Source organism: Homo sapiens, chromosome X (genome assembly GCF_000001405.40).
Source record: "Homo sapiens chromosome X, GRCh38.p14 Primary Assembly".
NCBI lineage: Eukaryota > Metazoa > Chordata > Mammalia > Primates > Hominidae > Homo > Homo sapiens.
Genome location: NC_000023.11, coordinates 41,798,697 through 41,816,335, shown reverse-complemented (window position 1 = coordinate 41,816,335; position 17,639 = coordinate 41,798,697). Strand labels below are relative to the sequence as shown.

General features: G+C 40.4%; 1 protein-coding gene across 11 annotated transcripts in view, besides 1 other annotated feature; it reads left to right on the top strand.

Annotated features, from left to right (window-relative positions):
• CASK (calcium/calmodulin dependent serine protein kinase) overlaps positions 1–17,639 on the top strand; it is a 408,621-nt gene that overhangs the window by 107,219 nt on the left and 283,763 nt on the right. The window lies entirely within an intron of this gene.
• Positions 12,914–13,455: an enhancer, noted in NCBI's record as "NANOG hESC enhancer chrX:41662134-41662675 (GRCh37/hg19 assembly coordinates)". NCBI's record gives its function as "activates a minimal SCP1, AML or CMV promoter by ChIP-STARR-seq in primed H9 embryonic stem cells {active_cell/tissue: H9 hESC(primed)}" and the evidence as "EXISTENCE:reporter gene assay evidence [ECO:0000049][PMID:30033119]".

Genomic DNA, 17,639 nt, shown 5'->3' with positions numbered 1-17,639 from the left:
CATATACTTTTATCACTTTTGTCTTTTATGTATTTTGAAGTTCTGTTATTAGATACTTATACATTTAGGATTATTATGTCCTCTTGATGAGTTGACTGTGTTATTATCATGAACTGATCTTTTTTCTTTGTTCTTCCTTTATGCAGTGTATCCTTTTTTCTGAATTAAAAAATTTTGTTTTTTTAGCTGGGCACAGTGGCTCATGCCTTTAATCCCAGCAGTTTGGGAGGACGAGGTGGGTGGATCACTTGAGCTCAAGACTAGCCTGGGCAACATGGCAAAACCCTGTCTCTACAAAAATACAAAAATAAGCCAGGCATGGTGGTGTGTACCTGTAATCCCAGCTACCTGGGAAGTTGAGGTGGGAGGATCATTTGAGTGTGGGAGGCGGAGGTTGCAGTGAGCCGAGATTACACCACTGCACTCCATACTGGGCAACAGTGCCAGATCCTGTCTCAAAAAAAAACTTTGTTTTTATCACTGGTTTTATGCAATTTGTTGATAATCTGCCTTAGTGCCTTTTTTTATTTGTATTTTAATTTGCTTGAGATTCTTTGAGCTTCTTATATCTATGGGCTTATAGTTTACATAACATTTGAAAATTTTTTGGGCTTTATTTCTTTAGGGTATTTTTCTTCTCCATTTGTCTCTTCTCTCCTTTGAAGGGCTCCAGTTACATGTATGTTAGACCCCTTTATATTGTCCCACATGTCATTAAGCTTCTGTATTTTAATTTTATACTTTTCATGCATTGTCTAATCTGTTTAGTTCATCCAGTGACTTTTTCATTTGAGATAATATATTTTTTTAATTCTAGAAGCTCCATTTTGTTCCTATTTATTTTTTTGTATTTCTTTTCTCATTATGTCCATGCTTTCTTTTAAATCTTTGAGCATATTCATAAGCTATTTTGAAATTCCTGCCTTGTAATGCCTACATAGCTATCATTTATAGGTCTATTTGTATTGACTAGTTTTTCTTTTGGTTATATTTTACAATTTGCTGCTTTCTTCATTAGACTATATCTAGAATAGCCATTATTTTAGTGCCAAATTTAGCTCCACTACTTAGGTGTGAATTATCCTTAGCATTTCAGTGAGGTCTCTCTACTGTGTCTGGTTAGAACTGCAGTATCTCCCTGCTCTTTTTGACCAGCCTCATGGAGTTTCAAGTTATGCAAGGACAAATTATTATTAAAGTATTGTTGGGACTTTTTTTATACCTCAGTCCCTTCTTTTCAGTACCCTCTCCTGAACATTCCATCTCCCTCATCCTCCCCAAACCATAATCTCTGTTTTCTCTACTCAGTGACACTGCATGCACTGCTTTGCTTCCCCTCCCTGTGCTGCATACTGGAAATTGCTTCCAGGAAGAAGCCAGGCTCTCATTTGGTACTCATTCCATTCATTTCCCTTTCCATAGGAATCACAATCTTTTACTGCCTATTGTCTCAGTGCCTGATAATATTTGTTTCATACATCTTATTCAATTTTCTAGTTCAGTGGGTAAAGAAAGTCCTATTCCAATTAAATTTGCATGATTAGAAGCTCTTTTTTTCCCTTCAAAATCTTTATTTGCATTTCTTTTTTTTTATTATTATACTTTAAGTTCTAGGGTACATGTGCACAACGTGCAGGTTTGTAACATATGTATACATGTGCCATGTTGGTGTGCTGCACCCATTAACTCGTCATTTACATTAGGTATATCTCCTAATGCTATCCCTCCCCCCTCCCTCCACCCAACGACAGGCCCCGGTGTGTGATGTTCCCCACCCTGTGTCCAAGTGTTTTCATTGTTGAATTCCCACCTATGAGAGAACATGCAGTGTTTGGTTTTTTGTCCTTGCGATAGTTTGCTGAGAATGATGGTTTCCAGCTTCATCCATGTCCCTACAAAGGACATGAACTCATCATTTTTTATGGCTGCATAGTATTCCATGGTGTATATGTGTCACATTTTCTTAATCCAGTCTATCATGGATGGACATTTGGGTTGGTTCCAAGTCTTTGCTATTGTGAATAGTGCCGCAATAAACATACTTGTGCATGTGTCTTTATAGCAGCATGATGTTTAATCCTTTAGGTATATACCCAGTAATGGGATGGTTGGGTCAAATGGTATTTCTAGTTCTAGATCCTTGAGGAATCGCCACACTGACTTCCACAATGGTTGAACTAGTTTACACTCCCACCAACAGTGTAAAAGTGTTCCTATTTCTCCACATCCTCTCCAGCACCTGTTGTTTGCTGACATTTTAATGATTGCCATTCTAACTGGTGTGAGATGGTATCTCATTGTGGTTTTGATTTGCATTTCTCTGATGGCCAGTGATGATGAGCATTTTTTCATGTGTCTTTTGGCTGCATAAATGTCTTCTTTTGAGGAGTGTCTGTTCATATCCTTCACCCACTTTTTGATGGGGTTGTTTGTTTTTTTCTTGTAAATTTGTTTGAGTTATTTGTAGATTCTGGATATTAGCCCTTTGTCAGATGAGTAGATTGCAAAAATTTTCTCCCATTCTGTAGGTTGCCTGTTCACTCTGATGGTAGTTTCTTTTGCTGTGCAGAAGCTCTTTAGTTTAATTAGATCCCATTTGTCAATTTTGGCATTTGTTGCCATGGCTTTTGGTGTTTTGGACATGAAGTCCTTGCCCATGCCTATGTCCTGAATGGTATTGCCTAGGTTTTCTTCTAGGGTTTTTATGGTTTTAGGTCTAATATTTAAGTCTTTAATCCACCTTGAATTAATTTTTATATAAGGTGTAAGGAAGGGATCCAGTTTCAGCTTTCTACATATGGCTAGCCAGTTTTCCCAGCACCATTTATTAAATAGGGAATACTTTCCCTATTTCTTGTTTTTGTCAGGTTTGTCAAAGATCAGATGGTTGTAGATGTGTGGTATTATTTCTGAGGGCTCTGTTCTGTTCCATTGGTCTATATCTCTGTTTTGGTGCCAGTACCTTGCTGTTTTGGTTACTGTAGCCTTGTATTATAGCTTGAAGTCAGGTAGTGTGATGCCTCCAGCTTTGTTCTTTTTGCTTAGGTTTGACTTGGCAATACGGGCTCTTTTTTGGTTCCATATGAACTTTAAAGTAGTTTTTTCCAATTTCGTGAAGAAAGTCATTGGTAGCTTGATGGGGATGCCATTGAATCTATAAATTACCTTGGGCAGTATGGCCATTTTCACGATATTGATTCTTCCTATCCATGAGCATGGAATGTTCTTCCATTTGTTTGTGTCCTCTTTTATTTCCTTGAGCAGTGGTTTGTAGTTCTCCTTGAAGAGGTCCTTCACATCCTTTGTAAGTTGGATTCCTAGGTATTTTATTCTCTTTGAAGTAATTGTGAATGGGAGTTCACTCATGATTTGGCTCTCTGTTTGTCTGTTATTGGTGTATAAGAATGCTTGTGATTTTTGCACATTGATTTTGTATCCTGAGACTTTGCTGAAGTTGCTTATCAGCTTAAGGAGATTTTGGGCTGAGACAGTGGGGTTTTCTAAACATACAATCATGTCATCTGCAAACAGGGACAATTTGACTTCCTCTTTTCCTAATTGGTTACCCTTTATTTCTTTCTCCTGCCTGATTACCCTGGCCAGAACTTCCAACACTATGTTGAATAGGTGTGGTGAGAGAGGGCATCCCTGTCTTGTGCCAGTTTTCACAGGGAATGCTTCCAGTTTTTGCCCATTCAGTATGATATTGGCTGTGGGTTTGTCATAGATAGCTCTTATTATTTTGAGATACGTCCCATCAATACCTAATTTATTGAGAGTTTTTAGCATGAAGGGCTGTTGAATTTTGTCAAAGGCCTTTTCTGCATCTATTGAGATAATCATGTGGTTTTTGTCTTTGGTTCTGTTTATATGATGGATTACATTTATTGATTTGGATATGTTGAACCAGCCTTGCATCCCAGGGATGAAGCCCACTTGATCATGGTGGATAAGCTTTTTGATGTGCTGCTGGATTCGGTTTGCCAGCATTTTATTGAGGATTTTTGCATCGATGTTCATCAGGGATATTGGTCTAGAATTCCCTTTTTTTTGTTGTGCCTCTGCCAGCCTTTGGTATCAGGATGATGCTGGCCTCATAAAATGAGTTAGGAAGGATTTCCTCTTTTTCTATTGATTGGAATAGTTTCAGAAGAAATGGTACCAGTTCCTCCTTGTACCTCTGGTAGAATTCGGCTGTGAATCTGTCGGGTCCTGGACTTTTTTTGGTTGGTAGGCTATTAATTATTGCCTCAATTTCAGAGCCTGTTATTGGTCTATTCAGGGATTCAACTTCTTCCTGGTTTAGTCTTGGGAGGGTGTATGTGTCCAGGAATTTATCCATTTCTTCTAGATTCTCTAGTTTATTTGCATAGAGGTGTTTATAGTATTCTCTGATGGTAGTTTGTATTTCTGTGGGATTGGTGGTGATATCCCCTTTATCATTTTTTATTGCGTCTATTTGATTCTTCTCTCTTTTCTTCTTTATTAGTCTTGCTAGCAGTGTATCAATTTTGTTGATCTTTTCAAAAAACCAGCTCCTGGATTCATTGATTTTTTGAAGGGTTTTTTATGTCTCTATTTCCTTTAGTTCTGCTCTGATCTTAGTTATTTTTTGCCTTCTGCTAGCTTTTGAATGTGTTTGCTCTTACTTCTCTAGTTCTTTTAATTGTGATATTAGGGTGTCAATTTTAGATCTCTCCTGCTTTCTCTTGTGGGCATTTAGTGCTATAAATTTCCCTCTACACACTACTTTAAATGTGTCCCAGAGATTCTGGTATGTTGTGTCTTTGTTCTCATTGGTTTCAAAGAACATCTTTATTTCTGCCTTCATTTCGTTATGTACCCAGTAGTCATTCAGGAGCAGGTTGTTCAGTTTCCGTGTAGTTGAGCGGTTTTGAGTGAGTTTCTTAATCCTGAATTCTAGTTTGATTGCACTGTGGTCTGAGAGACAGTTTGTTATAATTTCTGTTCTTTTACATTTGCTGAGAAGTGGTTTACTTCCCCTTCCAACTATGTGGTCAGTTTTGGAATAAATGCAATGTGGTGCTGAGAAGAATGTATATTCTGTTGATTTGGGGTGGAGAGTTCTGTAGATGTCTACTAGGTCCGCTTGGTGCAGAGCTGAGTTCAATTCCTGGATATCCTTGTTAACTTTCTGTCTCGTTTATCTGTCTAATGTTGACAGTGGGGTGTTAAAGTCTCCCATTATTATTGTGTGGGAGTCTAAGTCTCTTTGTAGGTCTCTAAGGACTTGCTTTATGAATCTGGGTGCTCCTGTATTGGGTGCATATATATTTAGGGTAGTTAGCTCTTCTTGTTGAATTGATCCCTTTACCATTATGTAATGGCCTTCTTTGTCTCTTTTGATCTTTGTTGGTTTAAAGTCTGTTTTATCAGAGACTAGGATTGCAACCCCTGCCTTTTTTTGTTTTCCATTTGCTTGGTAGATCTTCCTCCATCCTTTATTTTGAGCCTATGTGTGTCTCTGCACGTGAGATGTGTCTCCTGAATACAGCACACTGATGGGTCTTGACTCTTTATCCAATTTGCCAGTCTGTGTCTTTTAATTGGAGCGTTTAGCCCATTTACATTTAAGGTTAATATTGTTATGAATGAATGATCCTGTCATTATGATGTTAGCTGGTTATTTTGCTTGTTAGTTGCTGCAATTTCTTCCTAGCATCGATGGTCTTTACAATTTGGCATGTTTTTGCAGTGGCTGGTATCAGTTTTTCCTTTCTATATTTAGTGCTTCCTTCAGGAGCTCTTGTAGGGCAGGCCTGGTGGTGACAAAATCTCTCAGCATTTGCTTGTCTGCAAAGGATTTTATTTCTCTTTCACTTATGAAGCTTAGTTTGGCTGGATATGAAATTCCGGGTTGAAAATTCTTTTCTTTAAGAATGTTGAATATTGGCCCCCACTCTCTTCTGGCTTGTAGAGTTTCTGCTGAGAGATCTGCTGCTAGTCTGATGGGCTTCCCTTTGTGGGTAACCTGACCTTTCTCTCTGGCTGCCCTTAGCATTTTTTCCTTCAACTTTGGTGAATCTGACAGTTATGTATCTTGGAGTTGCTCTTCGCGAGGAGTATCTTTGTGGTGGTCTCTGTATTTCCTGAATTTGAATGTTGGCCTGCCTTGCTAGGTTGGGGAAGTTCTCCTGGATAATATCCTGCAGAGTGTTTTCCAACTTGGTTCCACTCTCCCCATCACTTTCAGGTACACCAATCAGACGTAGATTTGGTCTTTTCACATAGTCCCATATTTCTTGAAGGCTTTGTTCGTTTCTTTTTACTCTTTTTTCTCTAAACTTCTCTTCTCGCTTCATTTCATTCATTTGATCTTCAGTCACTGATACCCTTTCTTCCAGTTGATCAAATCGGCTACTGAAGCTTGTGCATTTGTCACGTAGTTCTCGTGCCATGATTTTCAGCTCCATCAGGTCATTTAAGGACTTTTCTACATTAGTTATTCTAGTTAGCCATTCGTCTCATCTTTTTTCAAGGTTTTTAGCTTCTTTGCGATGGGTTCAAACTTCCTCCTTTAGCTCAGAGAAGTTTAATCATCCGAAGCCTTCTTCTCTCAACTCGTCAAAGTCATTCTCTGTCCAGCTTTGTTCCGTTGCTGGCAAGGAGCTGCGTTCCTTTGGAGGGGGAGAGGCACTCTGATTTTTAGAATTTTCAGCTTTTCTGCTCTGTTTTTTCCCTATCTTTGTGGTTTTATCTACCTTTGGTCTTTGATCATGGTGACGTACAGATGGGGTTTTGGTGTGGATGTCCTTTCTGTTTGTTAGTTTTCCTTCTAACAGTCAGGACCCTCAGCTGCAGGTCTGTTGGAGTTTGCTGGAGGTCCACTCCAGATCCTGTTTGCCTGAGTATCAGCTGCGGAGGCTGCAGAACAGCGAATATTGCTGAACAGCAAATGTTGCTGCCTGATCGTTCCTCTGGAAGCTTCGTCTCAGAGGGGTACCCAGCCATGTGAGATGTCAGTCTGCCCTTGCCGGGGGGTGCCTCCCAGTTAGGCTACTTGGGGGTCAGGGACCCACTTGAGGAGGCAGTCTGTCCGTTCTCAGATCTAAAACTCCATGCTGGGAGAACCACTACTGTCTTCCAGGCTGTCAGTCAGGGACATTTAAGTCTGCAGAGGTTTCTGCTGCCTTTCGTTTGTCTATACCCTGCCCCCAGAGGTGGAGTCTACAGAGGCAGGAAGGCCTCCTTGAGCTGCGGTGGGCTCCACCCAGTTTGAGCTTCCTGGCCGCTTTGTTTACCTACTTAAGCCTCAGCAATGGCGGGCACCCCTCCCCCAGCCTTGCTGCCGCCTTGCAGTTCGATCTCAGACTGCTGTGCTAGCAAGGAGTGAGGCTCCGTGGGTGTGGGACCCTCTGAGCCAGGCACAGGATATAATCTCCTGGTGTGCTGTTTGCTAAGACCATTGGAAAAGCACAGTATCAGGGTGGAGCGCAGTATCAGGGTGAGAGTGACGCGATTTTCCAGATGCCATCTGTCACAGCTTCCCTTGGCTAGGAAAGGGAATTCCCTGAACCCTTGCACTTCCCGGGTGAGGCGATGTCTCGCCCTGCTTTGGCTCACACTCGGTGGGCTGCACCCACTGTCCTGCACCCACTGTCCGACAAGCCCCAGTGAGATGAACCCGGTACCTCAGTTGGAAATGCAGAAATCACCCGTCTTCTGCGTCGCTCACGCTGGGAGCTGTGGACTGGAGCTGTTCCTATTCAGCCATCTTGGAACTGCCCCCCTAGAAGCTCTTATCGTGAGTTTTAATGTGATTTTAAAGAATCTTAATTCTAATGATATTACTTTCAAATAGAGACAGACTATTACAGAGTTTTATCTAACAAAGCTAACATTTATTTAGCATTTCAGTGATGTGAGACGCCTTGCTAAGAGGTGTCTCAGTTCCCATTATAATCCTATTATAAAGGTGCCATGTTATGCCTATTTTACAGAAAGGAGGACTGCAGCTTGAAAACAGTTAAGTGACTTGTTCAAGCTCACATATCAGTCGAGTAAATGGCAAAACCTAGATTCAAACTCAATCTTGTCAAACTGCCAAGGCCTTGCTTATCATCACCATGTGCTATGGTTTGGATGTCCCTGCCAAAACTCATGTTGAAATTTAATTGCCGTTGTAACAGTATTGGGTGCTGGATCCTTTAAGAGGTGATTGGCCTGGCACGATGGCTCACACCTGTAATCCTGGCACTTTGGGAAGCCGAGGCAGATGGATCACCTGAGGTCAGGAGTTCGAGACCAGCCTGGACAACATGGTGAAACCCATCTCTACCAAAAATACAAAAATTAACTGGGCATGGTGGCAGACACCTGTAATCCCAGCTACTTGGGAGGCTGAGGCAGGAGAATCGCTTGAACCTGGGAGATGGAGGTTGCAGTGAGCTGAGATCATGCCACTGCACTCCAGCCTGGGTGATAAGAGTGAAACTCCGTCTCAAATAAATAAATAAATACATACATACATAAAGAAGTGATTAGGTCATGAGGAATCCTCCGTCATGAATGGATTTATGTTGTTATCGCGAGAGTGGGCTAGTTATTGCTGGAGTGGGCTCCTGATAAAAGAATGAGCTTGGGCCCATTTTCTCTCTATGTCTTGTGCTTGGTTGCCCTTCTGCAATGGGACGAACCTTACCAGATGCTCATGCCATGCTCTTGAACTCCTCAGCCTCCACAACAGTGAGCCAGATAAACCTGTTGTTTATAAATTTCCCAGTCTGTGGGTTTCTGTTATAACAGCAGAAAACAGACTATGATACCATAGTATGCTGCTTTGAAGTGGGTGAGCAGCTGGGACAATTAAGGAATCAGCTTCAGTACTAAGTGTCTGGGATGCAATGCTTTGGGGGCCATTTTCAGGTTTTGTACAGCAGTCTTTCTTGGGTCACATTTTCACTGCTCTTTACTTCAAATGGTCAAGTCAGACATCTTTTAAGCAACATTTATGGGTAGGTTCTGATGGCATCTTCCTTATATCTGCATATGATTGGAAATCTAAGAGCATTTGGGAACCTTGTCACTGACCATCTTTTTTTATTGTAACTCTACATTAAAGTGGGGTGTTTTTTGTTGTTGTTGTTGTTGTTGTTTGAGAATGATAAGGTACCATGGGAGCAGAATTACATTACTGGAAAAGTGGTGGCTAGGTTTATAAAAGCAAAACAGTCAATGATGTTCTCAGTCTCAAATTATTTCAAAATAAAAAGATTTTTAAGAAAAATTTACCTAAAATAATTAGTCTCTTTTCAGTTTAGCCACCAGCTTCCTATATTCTTAGATTGTTTTATTTTGATTTTTGGGGGTTTTTTATTGTGATTTAATTTTTTATAATCATGTAAAACATTTACGTGGTTCCAAAGGCAAACTATAAAAGAAAATATTTTCAAAGAAGTATGTTTTCTATCCCTGTTCCCACCCTCCTTCATAAGTAATCATTTTCATTAGCTTTCAGTTTATACTCATTGTCTTTGCTTTAAAATTGTAAATATTGTAGCTGTGTGTGTTTTTACATACACATACATACACACACATTTCCCTCTTCCTTGGATAAAAGGTGGCATATTCTACACACTATTCTACATCTTCTTGTTTTATTAAGTCGTAGATACTCTGGAGTTCACTCAATAGCATGGTATTAAGATTGTCCTTTTTTCTTTTTAAAGCTCCAGGATATTCCACTGGATTTAAATTTTTCAAAATCTCATTTGATAAACATTTATTGTCTACTGTGTGTGTCATCTGTCACGGGTAGTGCATAGCATTGTAGGGCAAACAGAAATGAACAACATATAGTCTTCACCCTCAAGAAACTTACAGAATTTTAAAATACTTTTACAAATGTGTACCTCTCACAGTAGCTGATCCAGTAACAATTATTTTTATTTTTACCCATCTCCTTTTTAGAGAACAGAGTAAAAATTTTTTTGCCATCTATTGTTTCTGTTATATTTAATGTCATTTCAGTAGTATTTATAAGCAGTCTAGGAACACGTCCCAACATTTAAAATACTTAGATATATGATTGTAAAGTGTGAGGCAGAGAAGTACATCATATGAATGTATGCTATTTCTAAATACTTGCTATTAATTTTAGTCACTCTAAAGTCAGAATATACCAGACAGTCCAAATTACTGTAATTATACCATCCTTTTAAAAACTTGGCACCTCTTTATTCCCAATATTACTCCAACCATTATCATTATAACAGGTTCCTGTTCTGTACCTCACTCACATCTGTACTCTTCTCCAATATTTCTTATTTCTTTAATGTCTGTACCTCATAAGATGCTGAACTTTTCTTTGAAGACTTAGGCATTGGGGCTGTGGGGGTACTAGCCTAGACTTATTGAAAGCAGCTCACCTATGGTACTTTGTCACGGGAGTGGGTATATCTGTGCTAGGTATTGTCCTTCCTATCTCTTTGTTGGCTCTTAGGGGCACTCCGTCTCTCAGGGTCCTGAGTCTGACTTTGCATCTTTGAATATGGTGTCTCTCCTTAAAGTCATCTTGGTTACACCTTGGGTTTACCTTTTCTTTGCCTGTCCTCCAGTAGTGGCCCTGAAGCCTATCCATGTTATCATTTGGCTACTCCTGGCTCTTCCATCCTGGAGCTGTTAACCTAGTTGCTCTTGAACTCTGCATATAAGGCCCCCTTCCCTTTCTCTTTCCCCTTTCCCCAGTTGCTCTCTAGGTTTTCTAATTTCTTTCCTGACACTATGTATGGCTTTAGTCAAGCGTAACCCTTGTCCCTAAATCCACAAATATAAAGCTAAGACATGTTACTTGTCTAGTTTTCTTAGAGAAGGAAACTTCTCAGGTCTTTGTATGCTTCCTCATACAATTGTAGGTTGCAGTAAGGTTAAATGGCTGAAAAGCGGTGAAGGAACATGTTCAAGAAGTTTCATATGATTTCACTACATGAATGTAGATGTGGTAATCTAGCACCTACTGTACTACTTAAAGCATTTCCTACAGTGAAGGCTTCTGAGAAAATAAATACTATTCCTGAAGTAGTCTCACAAAAAAACCTTTTTTAATTCAGAAAATTGATTCCAGGTTCACTAAGTCAGCATTTTCTCTCATCAGGCATTGCAACTAATGACATTAATGAGAGCCATGCCATATTTTTTAAAACAAAGGATAAAAAGGGCAAAACTGAGAATTTTAAAAGGGAGTTGTTTCCAGTAGTCTGTTTGAACATTGTAATTAACCAAGAAATAAAACAAGAAAAGGCCATTTTAATTGTGTTTTTTAGTACTCCATTAACAGTGCATCAAGCTCCTTATGAATTGAGACAGTATAAAATGAGTGCTTACGTTAAAGTAGGAAAGCCATCAGTCTGCGGTACAGAGCATTGTATTTATTAGAGTATCCCAGACCTGAATGAGTATTACCACCATTAGGTAATGCTTAAGTGTCTATTTTAACAAAAGGCATTTTTTTTTGTTATTATAGAGAACAAACACTAAATTGACTAAATAAATGAAGTTTAAACAAGAAATAAAACAGCTAGAATTTGCTTGCTTTTGTTGGTGGTGATATGCTCTTGTAGCCCCAGCAAATTACATCAGCATTGTTACCCTCGACAGGGAGCTTTATAATTTGTAGCATGTAAAATAACCCTTCCCAAAAAAGAAGAGAGCCAGGACCTGTGTTGAACTACTTACAAAGCAAGCATGTCCCTGGTGTCACCTTAGTAGTTTTAGTGAGAAAGATGGGATTTCTAAGGACAGTAGTTCACAGTTGTGCTCTCTCTGTTTTCTGTCTTTCATGCTTTAAGGTTTTTTTGCTCTCTTATTTTAATGTGTGTGTCTCTATGTATGGGCATGTAAATAAATATGCAGATGGTGGCACCTATGTAAGAAAATGTTTGAACACAGCCCCAATTTCAGAGCTCAATATGGCATGGGGAATTCTTGGGAGAATGTGACCTATTGAGGGTTGGTTGGTTGTTTGTTTTTAAGATGGAATCTCCCTCTGTCACCCAGGCTGGAGTGCAGTGGTGTGATCTTGGCTCACTGCAGCCTCCGCCTCCCGGGTTCAAGCAGTTATCATGCCTCAGCTTCCCGAGCAGCTGGGACCACAGGCGCCCGCCACCACACCTGGCTAATTTTTGTATCTTTAGTAGAGACAGGGTTTCACCATGTTGGCCAGGCTGGTCTCGTACTCCTGACCTCAAATGATCCACCCACCTCAGCCTCCCAAAGTGCTAGGATTGTGGGCATGAGTCACCGCGCCTGGCCAATTATCATAAATATATGCTTTTTAGTGGACCATATAGAAAGTTCTATTCTGGTTCTTTATATGGTTGGGTTTTACTTTTATCTAAGTAATGTAAGCACATGGTTTTAAAAGTCAAATCATGCTACTTCTAACAACAAAAAAGCAGTGTCTCTCCTAATTTGTTCCAACTCCACCACTTTAAGCATTTTTGCTGTTTCTTCTGTAACCAGCAACATATATTACTATTTCTTGATTTCATAGTTTCAGATATCATCAGTTATTGCCTTTTTGCTATGAAAGATGTAGCTGTTTTATGTTGCTACCCTCCCACCCCACTTCCTGGTCCCTACTTACTTTCCCTTCCCCATTTTTATAATATTCATATTTCAGTTATTCATATAATATGATTGTATTTCTTGTGTAATTTATTGTTATATCTGGGGTGAATCATTGACTCATTTCTTTGATTGCTTAGTTTTTTGTTGTTGTTGTTTTTGAGACAGTCTCGCTCTGTCACCCAGGCTGGAGTGCAATGGCGTGATCTTGGCTCACTGCAGCCTCCACCTCCTGGGTTCAAGCAATTCTCCTGCCTCGGCTTCCCAAGTAGCTGGGATTGCAAGAGCGTGCCACCACACCTGGCTAATTTTTTTTAATATTTTTAGTAGAGATGGCGTTTCACTATGTTGGCCACGCTGGTCTCAAACTCCTGACCTCATGATGTGCCCACCTCGGCCTCCCAAGGTGCTGGGATTACAAGCGTGAGCCACCGTGCCCAGCCCGATTGCTTGTTATTTTATGTATTATTGCTAATTTATCCCTAGGCTGTCCCACTAAACTGTGTAACTTTCCTCGGTACATTCAACCCCATTGGATAATTTATCACATTCATTGTTTTTCTTGGTGACAGAGGGCCCCCTGCCTGTGAGCCTTTCATCTGTTTCATTGTAAGTTGGTTGCTGTCCTGGCCTGCTGGGCTCGTCATGAGAATTCCTTTTGCCTTTCATCTGTGCTAGAGTCTTTGTTCCCTAGGTTTCTTGTTTTTTTGCTTTTTTGGTTTTTTTGGCTTCCTTCTTCATTTTGATAAAGTATGCCCTCTAGTAACTTTCTGAGAAGAGGTGCTTTTTTGAGATACCTGAAAATGTCTTTATATTACTCTACAATTTGATAGTTTGGCTGGGTGTAGAATTCTAGGTGACAATTTTGAAAATATATAGCATATGGGTGAAAGTTTATATGATGCAACGAGACTACTTAGGTTCATATCACACTTAACCAGCTGTGTGTGACATGGGCACATCACATAACCCTTCTGTGCTTAAGTTTTCTCATCTAAAAATCAGGCATAATATCTTACCTGCCCTTACAGTTATTGAGAGGATTGATTGAATAATGTATGTAAAGCACTTAGGGCAGTGCCTGGCCGTTTTTCTCCCAAAGCTTTAATGATATTCTCTTTACCCCAGTGCCCTAAAATTTTACAATGATGTGCTTTACTGTGGGCCTTTTTAAAAGTCGTTATACTGATTGCTTAGAAATATTTTTAAATCTGGAAACTCATTGTTCTTTAGTTTAGAAATTCTTTAAAATATTTCTTAGATAACATCCTTTTCTCCAGTTTCTTTGTTCTTCTTTTCAGGAGTTGCTGTGATTCAAATAACATAAGGGCTTATAAGGTAGGGCTTCATCTCTAACCTTTTCTTTCCTGTTCCTCTTTCTTTATCTTTTTGCTCTACTTTGAGAGATTTCTTCAACTTGATCTTCTAACCCTTCTGTTTGAGTCTCGTGGTTTAGCTCTCATTTTTTATTTTCAAGGACTTTTTTCTGAATGTTTTTCTTTTAAACTATTATATAGTTTCATACTCTTGTCTTCATAGGTTTCATATTCTTATCTATCTCAAAGTAGTATATTTTTGAAATTTTCTTTGCCTTATACAGGGAACAGTTTCCTCAGAAAAATATTAAGAGGGAAGTGTTAAATAGGTGCCTGGGAACACTCTGTATATGGGTAAATTCATTATCAGTGATCAGACAAAGACTAGGCCATTTTTTGAGCGCCTTATGGATATCCGTTATCTGTAGATCTTTTGTTCTTAAGCAGGTCAGTTTGACAGAAGAATCTTCTGATCTTCTGCCTTGGGCTAAGGGTATGTGTATTAGGGGGAGAAAGGGTACGTAGGGGCATTTAAGTCTGACTGCAGTGGTTCTGAGAGATAAAGGCTGAGGGTCTTTATTTTAACATGTTTAATACATGGAACTTTCCAGTTAATCCTCTTGTTTGAGTACAGCACTTCAGTTTGACGTGAGCTAGGGGTCTGGTGTCCAAAGTCTCCAAAAAGTGGGGTAAGGATAATTTGCTTGGCCAAAGATATCCAAGGTCATACTGCATACCTATAAAGGTTCAGCCAGTCCTCCTGTTATCTGCTCCACCATGCAACCCTGCCCTCAAAGATACCTGGTGCTTCCTATTGCTAAACCTTTCTTAGGGACATTTTGACAGGCATATCAGCGTGCTTCTTACTGGCTCGCCTTATTGAAAGCTTGTGTTCAGGTTCTACAGAAAGCTTGTGTTCAGGTTCTACAAAAAGATGTCAAGAAGGGATTTGATGTGCAAGAAATTTATTGAGAGTGAAAATGAATGGTAGGGAGCTGGAGGAGGCTGGGACAGCCATCACAGGTCATGCAGGTCTGACCCCGTTGGAGGAAAAAGGGAAGAAAAAGAGGAGGATTGGGTGGGGAAATTATTTGACCAAGGTGCAGTTTCAAGGATGTTTTGGCAAGGCGTATTGGGAGTCCTTGAGCCAAAGTTGACCATCAGAGACCCATATCTCACAGGAATTAGCCTGCTTAAGTATTCCTGCTGCTCTTAGTCACCAGCTGAGAGTATTTATAATAGCTGCTTTGAAGTCTTTTCTGCTAATTCCAACATCTGGGCTCCCTCAAAGGCAGTTTCTATTTTCTGCTTTTTTTTCCCCTCCTTTGTAAAGGTCACACTTTTCTGCATTTTGCATGTCTCCTAACACTTTGTTATAGCAACTGTGGATACTGACACCTTCCTCCACTCCAGGGTTATTCTTTTTTAGTTACTTGCTGGACTAGTTCAGTGCAACCTCTGATGTCCCTCTTCAGGACAGGTGTGGTCCTTATCCATGCATTTCTCTGCTACCTCTATTGGTGTTAAACTTAACCAATCGATAGCTGATTGCTCCCTTCTTTTTGACAATGCCTTGTGGTATAAATTGCTCCATAGTCTGATCCAATTAAAATTGGGTCCCTTCATGGATGAAATTGGAAATCATCATTCTCAGTAAACTATCGCAAGGACAAAAAACCAAACACCGCATGTTCTCACTCATAGGTGGGAATTGAACAGTGAGAACACATGGACACAGGAAGGGGAACATCACACTCTGGGGACTGTTGTGGGGTGGGGGAAGGGGGGAGGGATAGCATTAGGAGATATACCTAATGCTAAATGACGAGTTAATGGGTGCAGCACACCAGCATGGCACATGTATACATATGTAACTAACCTGCACATTGTGCACATGTACCCTAAAACTTAAAGTATAATAATAATAAAAGAAAAGAAAAGAAAAAATAAAAATAAATAAAAATAAAATAACATTGAGTCCCTTGTCAGGGACAAGTTTTTCTAGTCTTTGAGACTTGCTATACCCTTCCCTGAGCAGAATCTCTGCACTATAGAGTAGGAGCTGGGGAAAATGGGGAACTCACTCCTCATTGGCTGTTCCACCCAGATCCTCCCTCTGAAGCAGGGTTTTTGTGTTGCCGGGAAGGAGGAGGTATGAACTGTGCCTCCTTTTGCCTCTGCTGCTACTCAGTGTGGATCTTCCACAGCTCAAAACCAGGGAGTATGATATCTGTCAGTGTTCACCAGGTGCTGAAAGTACTCAGAATAGTTCTTTCACCCTAGGAAGTTGAAGGAGATGGGAGCTGCCACTCAGCTGCCAAACACATCTCTGTAGCTCTCTTGACAACACAGAGCTGTGTGGGCAGGGGGGACTACACTGTTTACCAGCTTCCTCACCTGATTCCTCTGTTTTTAGCTGGAGTTCAGGGGAGAGAAATGGCTGCTGCCATCAGCTTCTGCCGCTTGCTCTATATAGGCCTTCCACAGCATGGAGCCGTGGAAAATGGGATCTGCCAATGTTTACTAGCTGCCAAATCCACCCCGAGTAGCTCTTCCATCTCAAGGGGCGGATCTGCCCTTAGCTGCTGAACTCCTTAAAACAGTTCTTTGGCAAAACAGAGCTGTGGGGGGACAGGTGCAGTCCCTGTGTGGTCCCTATCTCGAATGCTACAGCCTCTTATTGTTCTTATCGAATTTCTGTAGATTCTATTGAATAAATGCTTCTCTATTTGTTGTAAGCCCTTTGATCAGTCTCCAGGGACTTTGAATGATTGTGATTTTTGACCAGCTAAATATATGTCTCTCCAGGGGAGAGATATCCCTGAGCTCCTTTATACAGCCATTCCAGAAGTCCCACCTAGTCATTGTGGGGGTTTTCTGGGTTTTTTCTGAGACAGAGTCTTGCTCTGTCTCCCAGGCTGGAGTGCAGTGGTGTGATCTCAGCTCACTGCAACCGGCTCACTGCCTCCCGGGTTCAAGCGAGTCCCCTGCCTCAGCCTCCTGAGTAGCTGGGATTACAGGCGCACGCCACCACACCCAGCTAATTTTTATACTTTTAGTAGAGACAGGGTTTTACCATGTTGGCCAGGGTGGTTTTGAACTCCTGGCCTCAAGTGATCTGCCCACCTCAGCCTCCCAAAGTGCTGGGATTACAGGCGTGAGCCACTGCACCTGGCTGTCATTGTGTTTTTAATGATTCTGTCTTAATAGAAAACTAGTTTTACACAAATATAATCAAGTGACTTAAATTGAAAGGACTAAGATTGAAAACTGAATTGAAATTGAAAATTGAATTGAAATTGAAACCTAAGATTTTTTTGAAAGGTATGATTTTATTACGGAAATTTGCTTGATTGAGCTTTATTTTAATCAAGACTTTGTATTTCCATTTTTAGAATTAATTCAGAGAAATAGCTAACCTATAAAGTTCATCTTCAGAATTGAGTCATTGTAGACCTAAGAAGCAATATAGCAGAGTTATTAAGAGCATAGGTTCTGGGGCCAGACTACCTAGGTTCCAGTCTTTGCTTTGCAGCTTATTGGTTCTACCTGGGTTCCAATCTTTGCTTTGCAGCTTGTTAGTTCTTTTTATTTTTATTTTTGAGACAGTCTTGCTCTGTCACCTAGGCTGGAGTGCAGTGGCATGATCTCAGCTCACTGCACCCTCTGCCTCCCAGGTTCAAGCAATTCTTCTGCCTCAGCCTCCCAAGTAGCTGGGATTACAGGCATGTGCTACCA